Source organism: Homo sapiens, chromosome 1 (assembly GCF_000001405.40).
Source record: "Homo sapiens chromosome 1, GRCh38.p14 Primary Assembly".
NCBI lineage: Eukaryota > Metazoa > Chordata > Mammalia > Primates > Hominidae > Homo > Homo sapiens.
In genome coordinates this window covers 187,405,669-187,418,096 of record NC_000001.11, presented here as the reverse complement: position 1 = coordinate 187,418,096, position 12,428 = coordinate 187,405,669, and the positions used below count along the sequence as shown (strand labels likewise).

The window sequence follows — 12,428 nt, the reverse complement described above, 5'->3', positions numbered from 1 at the left end:
GGTCCATGAGGCTTCCTCAGCTCAGGATGTCAAAATGTCATATTTTGGGATATCAGTTCCTGAGCCCCAAACACCATCTGCACTGCTACCAACCTGATCTGAGCCACCATCATCAATCTTGGATACATATTCCTCCAAATCTTCTTTCTTCTCTTCAGTCTGTTTTCAATAGCTGCCAGAATTATCCTGATAAAATGAAAGTTGGTCATGTAATTCCTCTGCTCGAATATCTGTGATAGATTGAATTACAGTCTACAATAGTCAAGTCAGTCTCAGTATCCATACTCTTTGATGTATAACTTCATACCTTTCCCACTAGAAGTACACTGTGTGTTCCTGGTCCTTGACTTTGAACCAGGCCATGTGACTTGCATTAGCCAATGAGATGTTAGTGGATGCAACACTAGTTAGAAGCTTTAACTACCTTTGTAAATTTGCACTTGCTGCTATCTACATCTAGCATTGCTGTGAAAAGAACATAGTCAGAGTAGCCCATGGGTCCAGGAAGTAGAAGAGATACATAGAATAAATCGGGACCCAATCTTTATCTTGAAAGAAGCTCATCTGGGCCCAGCTTAATTCCGCTGACAACCAGCCACACAAAGATGCATGAGTAAGAACCAACAATTGTTGCTTTAAGCAATCAGTTTTAGGGATGATTTATTACACTGAATTATTATGACAGTAGGTGACTGATAAACTCAACAATGCCCCATTCCTGTTTTTCCCAGAGTAAGATGGTCTCTAATGTTTTACATCTTGTCCTGCTACCTCTCTAACCTTATCTCCTATTTGTGTCTCTTTTACTTGCTTCATCTATCAACACTGATAACTATGCTTCTACTCAAACAGCTGCTTCTGTCTTGGGGCTTTGCATTTGTTATTCTCTGTGCTTGGAATTCTCTTCTTCCAAGTATCTGCACAACTCTCTCCCTCAAATTCTTTTCATTTTTATTCTAGTATTAATTATCACTGCATCCTCTCCTCTCCAGACTATATAAGAATTTACATCTCCACGAAACATTTGTTTCCCCTTTCTTACTTCTTTCATTCTTCATTATTTATTACTATCTAGCACACTTGCTGCTTTGATTCTTGACTTTCCCTCCTGCCCCATTAGAAGGTAAGGTCTGTGACTGAAGGTCTATTTGTCCATTATTATATCTCCAGTACCTAGAGCAGTAGGTGGTCAATAAGTATTAGTTATATGTGGGAATGTTTTTCCTTTCTGAATGGACCCAAGACTAAACACAAAATTTATTTATATTTCATATAGTCCTTATATAAATAGTCTGAAGGTAATCTTATACAATATTTTAAACAATTTTGTGCATGAAAGAAAGTTTTGACTGTGTTTTAACTGCAACCTGTCACATGAGTCCAGGTGTAGATTTTTCCACTCATGGTATCATGTCAATGTTACTTGATACTTGTGATATCACGTCAATATTATACTTTTTGATTCTGGAGCATTTCAGATTTTCAGATAAGGAATGCTCAATCTGTATAAGTGAATTTACGTACATTTCTTATTAATCTTCTTAATGACACAATGAAAGGTAGCTGTATTTTTATTTTATTGATGAGATAGACTCGGAGAGATTAAGAAAAAGCACAAAGATTGCAGGACTAAGATGTTGAGCCGATATTTGAACCTGAAACGGCCTCATTGTCTGGAATGACACCCAAGGTTTGTAGTCCCATGACCACAGAGAACAAGGACATATACACACAAAGAGTGAGGTTGAGAGCAGAAGTTTAATAAGCTAAAGAAAGAGAATAGCTCTCTGCTGCAGAGAGAGGTCCTGGAAAAATAGGTTGCTGGATCTGTGATGAAATGCAGGGGCTTTTATAGATGAGCTGGTGGGGAGGCAGTGTCTGATTTATATAGCACACAAAAGACTGGTTAGACCAGTTGTGCCATTTGCATAGGGTGCAAATCTCTGGTAGCCCCCAACCTAATCTTTTATTATGCAGGTGGGTTTTCTGTTTGAGCTGGGCCATGTTGCCCATTCCTTTATTACTGTATACATGGTAACAAAAAAAGAGACGATAGAGCCTCCACGTTGGACATGCCTGGCCCCAAGGTAGCCCTTTTCTATTGGTACAACTGCCGACATTCCCCTATACAAGCTTCCAGCTTGCTTATCTATGTTTGCAGCTCAATTTTCAGGCTGCTCTTTGTTAGAAAAGAAATTATTTGGGGGGATGCTTTTTGTTAGAAGGGAAATTCTGCCAAGAACTCTGTTGCCCTCACTCTCTGCCTAAATAATTTATTTCTACCTCCTGTATCAAACCCAGAGAATTATGATTTCAGTGTGTGTGTGTGTGTGTGTGTGTGTGTGTGTGTGTGTGTGTGTGTGTTTTCCCCACTATGCCACAATTGTTCTAATCAGGTCACATTCAACAATTGGCTTTTCTCTTCCTCTGTCATGCAGTTGTATTATTTGGTTGCACATTTGTATGATTTGGTTTCTTCTGTCAGACTATAACAACCCTTGAGGACATGAAATGCGTCTTCTTTATCTCTCCATTTCTCTTTACTACACTCAAAGGAGCGAGCATGATGTTTCATAAAGTAGACACATTCAGTTATCATTTATCCAGGAATAAATGTATTTTATGGCATATAGGTAAATATTTTGAAGATATAACATGTTATATACCTCTTGATTTGTCTCGATGGGAATTATTGTTCTTAAGACTTCAGGAATTAAAATCAGTAGCAAACACAGCATCTTTTTCTTGCACGCTGGCCAAAAGTCACCACAAATAAACATCATTTTTTTCTTTGCTCTTGTTTTATTACTCTGGTATTTTGTTTTGTTTTGCTTTAACTTTCCAGGAGTGTTGAGTCAGTAGGCTGGTGGCTCTATGCTGTAGTGCAGTCCCTCGGTAAGTAAGCAACTGAATGAATTTATCACTAGGTATTAAAGTAGTCCACCAGACAGAGAAACTTAATAAATACAAAGTGCACCAATAAGCACATATTCCTATTTATCATGAACTCAATATTATTGGTTAGATCATTATTAATAGGTGACCTTAATTATCAAATTTATTGACATTTTGAACTTTGGAAAAAATATTGCATTGCATTTAGATTGTAGAATCTATGAACTAGACCCGGAAATGTATTCTCATTGCTCTGACTTTTCTTCTTCTATTCCCTCCAAACATCCAAATTTACTTTGGCATCTTCAGAATGTCTGGCAAGACTATAGCACTTAAAAATGAATGCTTCATCTTGGATAATTCATTTTGGATGTTGGACTTTGCTTGCTGCAAAGAAGCTTTTTAAAGTGTCTTACATATCTATCTTGTACAGATAACTGTAATATGGGAAAGTATTGAAAGTGAATGTTTTAAAGAAATAATACCTTTTTTTGAACAAGTCAAATTGTCTGTCCTTGAGGCTTTTTATCCATATGGCATGTCAAAACACTTCAATATCAATTGACCTTTCAAAGTTCGTAGTTATGCTCTTTTAGGAAGCTTTTGAAATTATGTAATACCCTGTACTACATTTTACCTTTTGTGCTTGCAAATTATGTGTTTATTGCACTTTTTTTCCTTTTATCTGTTTCAAATTGTATAGTGAGATATTAAAAAAATGTAACCATTTGAAGAAAAAAATTCAAAAGATGTCAGTTATTTGGAAGGAAAAGTAAAGAGATATGTTTTTAAAAATTTTTTTCTGGTCAATTTTCTCTAACTTCTTATTTATCTATTTAAGGGAGGATTAGAGTCTTTATTGAGAAAGGTAATATCTGGACATCCGAGCAATAATATTCTCTACAAAATGTTTTATTACTGTAGATGAATTCAGGTGGAGGATACTCCGCTGTGTTTGAGATATGCTAAATTAATTGCACACCAATTAATCTGTGATTTGGAGAAATCATTATTAGTTACAACACATTGCTTCTTCGATGAGAAGAATATGTGTGTGACATTTGCTGTCTGTATATCTCAGTAAGGACATGCATCATTGTACATTTGGCAGAACCTGGAAGAAATGATACATTTTAAAGCACTTCTATAATGGGACACTATAAATGTCTTCAGGTGCCTGTCTTTAGAAATTCTACCTGCTTACTCTAGCTGATTTCTTTGCATATAGCACCCCCTGCTTTCAGTAAATGAAAAATATGTACAACAGAACTTCAGTGAAGCTTTGTTTATGTAATAATTCTGATTTTTATTTCATATCTCCTGTGCGAAACATAAGCTGAAAGAAAAGGAGAGTTAAAGTGCTGACAATAAAGGTGATACACAGAGAACTCCCAGAGATTAAAACAAACAGGGGAAAAGGAAGAGGCCTACAACAAGGTTATGCATGCTTTGTGTGTCTTCATTGAACTAAACTGGTTGGCATGTAGCTGGTTAGGTAAATCTAAAATGTGATCACTGGAAAAATTGGCTGAATGCAGAATTCAATCATGGTGCCTCTTTGCAGCCTTGCATGTCATCATATTCACTCACTGAAATGATAGCCTTTGTTCCCCTGTCCAACCCAGAGTGACAGACAGCTGCAATTAGTAGCTGTGGGTGAAAGAATATGGGATTAAAAAATCAATGATTCCAGAAAAGAAGATTGGTGCTGACACTTTCTTTAATGTCAGGGGACCTGCAAAAGTGGAGCAATATGTGAGAAGGCTATGATCTTACTTTTGATTTTCTTTAAAGGCAGATTTTACAATGACTCTAAAAGGGAGGAAAATAAAAGTGTACAAAGAGAGAGAAAAGTTGAATAAAGGAGATAGACACTGGGGTAATTGTATATTTATCTAGGTGGTAGGCAAAGTTCTACCTGTATTCTTCCCACCTTCAACAATTTGAGTGGTATTGATTGTTCTCTTTTTGTCCTTAGCCCAAGTTAAGGGACACTAGAGAGCTAGGACAGCATAGTTGGGGGATGTGGTTGGACATAGCAGAGGGACACAGTATATGGCCTCCTGTTCATTGCCCATCTTGTGTAATTATCTTACTAGGCTTCTCCTGAGCAGGACACATAGAGGATAATATGTCAAATATGGAGGCAAGAAGCAGGTGGTAAATAGGTAATAAATGTAGCAAAGAAAAAGACAGAATGAAGAAAAAAATAGGGTTAGAGATGTAAGAAGAAACAGAGAAAAGATGAAGTAAGTATTTGAGACACAAAGGAACTGCACGTTTGCAGAAAGTGCAGTGCTTTAAGAGCAAAGCTTTCGGGATGAATGCTTTCACAATCAGCGTGGCTTTCTCAGTGATATTCAGTCATTAGCTCTGCTTGGCAGTATCAAGCAGCCATATGTAAAACAATGAGTCCAGATAGAAATTATATTTTTGTTTGACATCATTGCTAGCAAGAAATTGTCAAAGGGAAACCAAAAAAAGTGCATGTAATCATCATTCTTGAATTCTTTTCTGCAGTGCTGGTTGCTTAACAGTTTCAAAGCAGTTCACAATGATAATTCTTCAAACTTGTTTTCCTCCCTCTTCCATTTTAACATCTTTCCACTAAATTAGTTTATTCAATTGCCTTATTAAATGCTGTTCCTTCAGAATCCTTATGAAAGCCCACACAAATACTTCATGGAAAGCTCCCTTTTTGTTCTACAATATACCTGAAACTCAGGTACAATGAGTTCTTGCACCTATCATTCTGAATCACAGTCATTCATTTTACTAATAGTGAGTTCTCAAGGATAATGTCTGTCTTATTCTGCGTTTTGTCCTTATGACTGGGATACAGTAAGCATTTAATCTGTACAGTTTCCTTTCTCAATATTAGGCAACACTCTCAATTACTAAACTCCTAAAAACAACCTAAGAAAAGATTCCGTTCAATGTTTTAGGTTGCCCCCATGTTCCTCTGGCTTTTTTCCTCCCTACTTCTCTACTGTGACTTGCCATCTTATAGGCCATTATCTTATATTTTCACCATGGCCAGGTAAGAAATGAATTAAATTTTAACTGTGATGAACTGCTAGTGATAGAATAAAAGGTCATTTTAAAGTTAAATGCTAACGTCTTTTCTTATGATTGGGCACATTGGGTTGGCTAAATTTTTATCTAAGATGTTTATCATTATTAGTTATTTGGAAACAATGCATAGCTATTCATTCTGCAATCGATGAGACAGTAAATCTTTTAATGAAAAGGCTTCAAGCCTAACCAATAAAAAGATACTTAGCTTGAACTCCATTAGCAGTAATGAATGTGTTATTTGACACATGCAACTTTCAAAAACATACTCATATTTCACAAACCAAAGAGTTCTACACATTGGTTACAGAGAATGAAATGTATTGCCTGCCAGTTTAACCTATGGAGACAAAATAAAAATTACCTTTACTTTTTAGTCTGTTGAAAGAATGTGGATCCTATTTATTTACTTTTAAAATATTATAATTATTTATCAATTTATATTAGCATTTCTAAATGTTAATTTTAGCTAATATTAATTATCTGCCTGTGTTCGCTAGAGGAAGAGCTGTGTGTTTTGAAACAGAGTTTTAGGAATAGGAAGCGACCTGTTCAAGGACATATACCAGTCATACTTGGTCACACTTCCTTTCTTGGCAGAATTTAAAGCTTGATTTCAAAGCCAATACTTTACTGTATTTGTGAGCATGGTTTCTTCTTTGTGGGGTATAAAATGTGCTTATAAAGTTCTAAGGCAAGAACTCAAATACTAGTGCTGAACATGAAGGGGCATTAGACAAGAGAGTGGGTCACGGTGAGGGAGCATGAGAGATGTGAATCTACCTTAGTGGTGACAGAAACTGAGAGAGGGGAGGAGGTTGCTCACAATCTGTGTGGAGAGAAATAAGAGGGTTATGATAACATTCTGAGTTCTCGCATGCTTTTGGAGCATGCAAAGGAACAATGGACTTTGACTAGATCCAGATGAATAGGCTGAGGAAATTAATGACTAAAAACTAAAATTACTATTTGTATTTGTCTGTGTGGCATTGCTACGAAGGAAATACCTGAGACAGGGTAATTTATAAAGAAAAGATCCTTATTTAGCTTATGGTTCTGCAGGCTGTACAAGAAGCATGGTGCCAGCATCTGCTTCTGGTGAGGGCTTCAGGAAGCTTTCAGTCATGGTGGAAGGGGAGGGGAAGCTAGCTTGTCGCATGGAAAGAGAGACAGAGAGCAGGAGAGAAAGGATGTGCCAGGCTTTTTAAAACAACCATCTCTCACAAGAATTAATAGAGCAAGAACTCACTCATTGACTCAGAGAAGGTGCTAAGCCATTAATGAGAGATTCACCCCCATAACCCAAGCATCTTTCACTAGGTCTCACCTCCAACACTGGGGGTCAAATTTCAACATGAGATTTGGAAGGGACAAATATTCAAACAATATCACTGTTCTATCAGATTGCAGCTAACATAGACATGACCACAAAATGGAAATTACAGTTTCACTCTCTTATTCCCTACACAGAAAATAATTGGTATATAAAAAGCAACCTATCTATGGTATAATATAGTTTATTTTCATTAGGGAGAATAGACAAGTTAAGGACAATTTTTTTTCCAGTTTTATTGGGGTATAATTAAGTGACAAATAAAAATTGTACATATTCAAGGTTCACAATGTGATAATTTGATATACATATACACATAAATTGTGAAATGAGTACCAACATGAAGTTAGTTAACACATCTGTAAACTCACATAGTTACCATTGTGTTTGTGTGTCAGGAACACTTAAGTTCTACTCTGCTAGCAATTTTCAAGTATATGATACTGTATTAACTGTAGTCTTTCCTATCTGTGTGGCTGTGGGGATGTCTTAGGCAAGCCCCCTGGGAAAGTTTCCTTATCTGTGCCTGCAACTAATGCTGTACATTAGATGCCCAGAACTTGTAACTGAAAGTTTGAACCATTTGACCAATATGTTCCTATTTCTCCCACATCTCAGGCCCGGCTACCAGCATTTTCCCTTTTGTTTTGAGAAGTTTGTCATTTTAGAGTCCACATATAATTAAGGTCCGATTAAGATGCTCTTGAGAGTTGACCAGCATGTGCTCCCAGTCCAAGGCTGGGCAAAGTTTCACTGGGCACCCCTGGTTCACCCAAGTGACAAGGAGATAGGTTACAGAAGTGTTGGGTGAGGGGAAATGATATTCAGATTTTCTTAATGTTTAGGAATTATTTTTTCTCTCCTAAGGCACCAGAAAATAATGCTCTGTACATTTCCTAAAGTCTGCAGAATTAGTAAAGGATTTCCTTTTCACCTCAAGTATAATTTGGATAGAAGCAGATCCATATATCTTTATAACTCTTTGCATACATACTGCTCAGTTCTCTACAGTGAGAAGCATCTTTTGAGATTAAGTCCCAAAGAAAACTACTAGCCAGCATTAACACCAGCAAAGTTGTTGTTGGTTGTGGGAGGTTCTTAACCTCTCTGTAATCAGTAGAAATTACTGTGTTCCATTCCCTCATATCTTCTGTGACTCACCACTGTCTTCTCTTCTGAAACAAGCCTTTTCCCAGAAAACGAGGCATATTTTGCACAAAGATGCTGTGACTCCTTCTCTTTTATCTCTCTGAAGTTTGAGTAAGTAATGAAGGGAACTGTTACCATAGCTACAATACAAGTAAACACAGAGAACAGATTCAGTGCGGTAGAAAAGACAAGAACTCTGGGATGTGATGAACATGCACTCTTAGAGACTGTGATCATCAGGTGGGAGACCTGGGTCTCACCAGAATGTGCTCTGTGCTTTAGAAAAGCAGATTTCAAAAAGTTCAGAGAGAGGACTTCAGAATACAGGTGGCAGAGTAAAAATGCATCTAATCTCTTCCCTCTACAAACCCCGCTGAAACTACTATAAATGGATTGTTTTTAACTAGACATAAACCCGCAAGAATGGAGGGAACAGAGAGGAGGCAACAGCATCAAACGTTTAGATTCTGAAAAGCAGATATACAAGTTTGAACTGACCTATCAGGAAAGAACAAAACAAAGCAAAACAAAAGCAAAAAGCCAAATCCTAAATCAGCAATGACAAAAGCCAAGAGACAACACAATCCATACACAGAATTTCCAGGTGGTTCAGGAACGGGGGACATCAAACATCACAGAATAACTGGAAGGAAGAATTAAACTACAGAGAGTCAGTCAGAAGTTATTTAAGAAACTAGATGCCTAGAATTCTTTCCAACACCTTGACTAACTGACCACATGATTTTATCTCAGCAGACATTTGCACTTCATTCTCTGGAGACGCAAAAACAGAGGTTTTGTGGGCTATGAAAACCCTTAGTGACTGAGGGTGGGAATACCATCCCCAAACAGAAAAATAAACATGCAGACTGGATGCTGAATGCTGAGACCTCTTCCACCTCCTCTCTGACTTGCCTATTCCCTTATAGGGCTCAAAAAACATTGGCTGGCCATTACCCTTGTGACCCTGAAACTCAAAGACAGGTTTCAGTTAATTTAGAAAGTTTATTTTGCCAAGGTTGAGGATGTGTGCCCATGACATAGCCCCAGGAGGTTCTGATGACTTGTGCCCAAGATGGTTAGGGTGAGACAGGAGAAAGGAAGAAACGGATTAGGCAGATTCTTAAGACGAGTCCTTGGTTAAATTCTTTCAAACAAAAGAACAGCCTGAAAAATCAAGTTGCAGGCACAGATAAGGGAACTTTCCCAGGGGGCTTGCCTAAGACATCCCCACAGCCACACAGATAAGAAAGACTACATAAGAGACTTGCCCAGGCATGCCTGCAAGGGAAAATTCCACCCCTTGACACATGTGCAGTAAGGGTAACAAAACAACATGGAATAACTCAAACTAAGAGCCCGTGCATGAGGATGATGGGGTGGAACTACCAGAAATGCATGCCTTTTGCAAATGAGATGAGCAGCCCACTATTGATTTCTTATAAAAGCCTCTGTATCCAAACTGTGAATCGGCAACCCATTTTTCTGGGACCCCTCTCTGTAGCAGAGAGCTGTTCACTTTCTTTCACCTATTAAATTTCTGCTCTAAACCTCACCCTTTTGTGTCCATGTTCTTTATCTTTATGGCCGTGAGACAACGAACCTCGGGTGTCACCCCAGACGATGAGGCCACTTCAAGAGCACAGCTTGGTTTTATATGTTTTAGAGAGACATGAGACATCAGTCAATATATGTAAGATAAACACTGGTTCTGTCCAGAAAAGGCTGGACAACTTGAAGCAAAGGTGGGACAACTTGAAGCAGGGAGTGGGCTTCCAAGTCATAGGTAGATAAGAGATGAATAGTTGCATTCTTTTGAGTTTCTGATTGGCCTCTCCAAAGGAGGCAATCAGATACGCATTTATCTCTGAGCAGAGGGGTGACTTTGAATAGAATGGGAGGCAGGTTTGCTGTAAGCAGCTCCTAGCTTGACTATTCCCTTTAGCGTAGTGATTTTGGAGCCCCAAGATTTATTTTTCTTTCACAACCTGCAGGCAAGAGAACAGAATATTTTCTGTGAGAATCTAACAAGTTCAAGAAGAAATATTTAACCATACTTACCTTAACTTTTCTTCAACAAATGGCCCACCCATGTCGACAAATGGCCCCCAGTGATGTCTTTAGATATAAGAACAACCTACAGACTCAAAGTTGCCAATCAGCTTTTTAGTTCCTCATTGTTTAACAGGAGTTGATACTTAAGGATCACTGGATTTCTGACCAACATTTTTTAACATGTGATACAGAAACCAAGGTAAATGAAGAGATAAAGAATCTTAGAGGAAACAGACATGATGCAGGGAGAAAAAAAATTTTAATGTGTTATTACTTACCTCAGATATATAAAGATACTTTATCCAAGAAAGAAAAAATTGATATAATAGAGAATCATTCGGAGAAAAGAAAAAAAGATGAGCTCTTGCAATTAAAAAAATGAGAATAGAAATTGAAAATTGAAGAGCTACATGATAAAATTTGAGAAAGTCTCCTAGAATGTAAAGTGAAAAGGCAGAAAAGAAGAAAAGAAAATTCTCAAAGAAATAACTTGGGGAAATTTCCCTCATCTTGAGGATGTAATCTGCTACATTACGAGAATCCATGGAGGTCCCAGCATAAAGAAAGAAAGGCAGTTCATATTAAGGCACATCATTTTGATAATTCAGAGCAATGGTGTAGCATGGGGTATGTTACAAACACCCGGAGGTACAAGGTCAAAAACAAAAAGAAAGGAATCAAAATGGTTTCAAACTTTTTGAAACCAAAGGTGAGTGAGAGAAGACAATTGAAAAGTACATCCAAAATATTGATAGAAAATGATTTTTAGTATAGAGCTCTATGCCTAAGCCATCAAATAAATCAGAGAGTAGAATAAAGACATTTTCATATATATATATATAATTTCAAAATATTTATCTCCCTTTGTCAAAAAACTGTTAGAAGATATGCTCCACAAAAAGATGGAGTAAACCAATATTGAGAAAAATACTGGATAATCAGAAAACAGGAGCATAGAACCTGGGAAGAAATTAAAGTATCCTCCTCAAGGGTGATGTCAAGGCAATTGAAGAATGACAAGTGGGAACTTGGCAAAGAGAGCTTGGTGTTAAGCGGTTTGACTCAAGGTAAATATATTAAGGTCATCAACACCATGTCTCTGCTCTTTCTCTGCTTTATTCTTTGGATGAAGCCATAAGTGAATGTGGTCCAATGACGGAGTGAGAAAGAAAGAGATATAATAAAGACATATACATAAGATCTATCAAATGGCAGAAATATATACACCAACTAAGAGAAAAACAAAAAGAGTTTTTACAATTACAGCAAGGAGAGTCCCAGAAAGAGAGTTGTTCACTAAGACTAGAGAATAGACAGTCCAAATAGAAGAAGAAGACTCCAGGAGAAATGGCTCCAAAAATACTTTGAAACTGTCAGATTACAGATCATAATATTTGAGAAGTTATGCTGAGAGGCTATTGGAAGTTGTGGAAAAAATTAGCAATAGGTACAAAACTATATACATTTATTTTAAAAAAGGTAATCATTAACTTTAGAAGAAAGTGAAAAATAAGTAATAATAGTACACAATATTCAGTGTGATTTCATATTCATAACACAGTAAATTAAAACTTAGTATTGATTCAAATAAAAACTGTCACTCAGCAACACTAAAAAGAAGGCAGAAGGAAATAAAAAAGGGATGGCAGCGTTAGAGAATTAAATCCTTCTGTACCAAAATAAGAAGACAACGTTTAATGTCTAAAATAGATAAATAAAGAATACTTGTCAATTCTTATTAATAAAAATTATTTAATGATGCCTAAATGCTGAATTGAACAGCTAACAGGGTCCAGAGTTGTCACTTCTGCAGAGAGGACTCTAAGGACTAAGAGGGTACTGGGCATGAAACCACTGTTGTTGAAGTGAACAGAAGTGTATGCTGGTGCCAACTCATACCAGCTCCCCTGGACCAATTGTT

The 12,428-nt window shown here is 37.1% G+C and overlaps 2 annotated features.

Annotated features, from left to right (window-relative positions):
* Nucleotides 8,366-8,660: a silencer, noted in NCBI's record as "tiled region #13721; HepG2 Repressive non-DNase unmatched - State 24:Quies". NCBI's record gives its function as "represses a minimal TATA promoter and a strong SV40 promoter by Sharpr-MPRA in HepG2 cells {active_cell/tissue: HepG2}" and the evidence as "EXISTENCE:reporter gene assay evidence [ECO:0000049][PMID:27701403]".
* Nucleotides 9,113-9,313: a silencer, noted in NCBI's record as "peak527 fragment used in MPRA reporter construct". NCBI's record gives its function as "represses an SCP1 promoter by STARR-seq MPRAs in K562 erythroleukemia cells {active_cell/tissue: K562}" and the evidence as "EXISTENCE:reporter gene assay evidence [ECO:0000049][PMID:32103011]".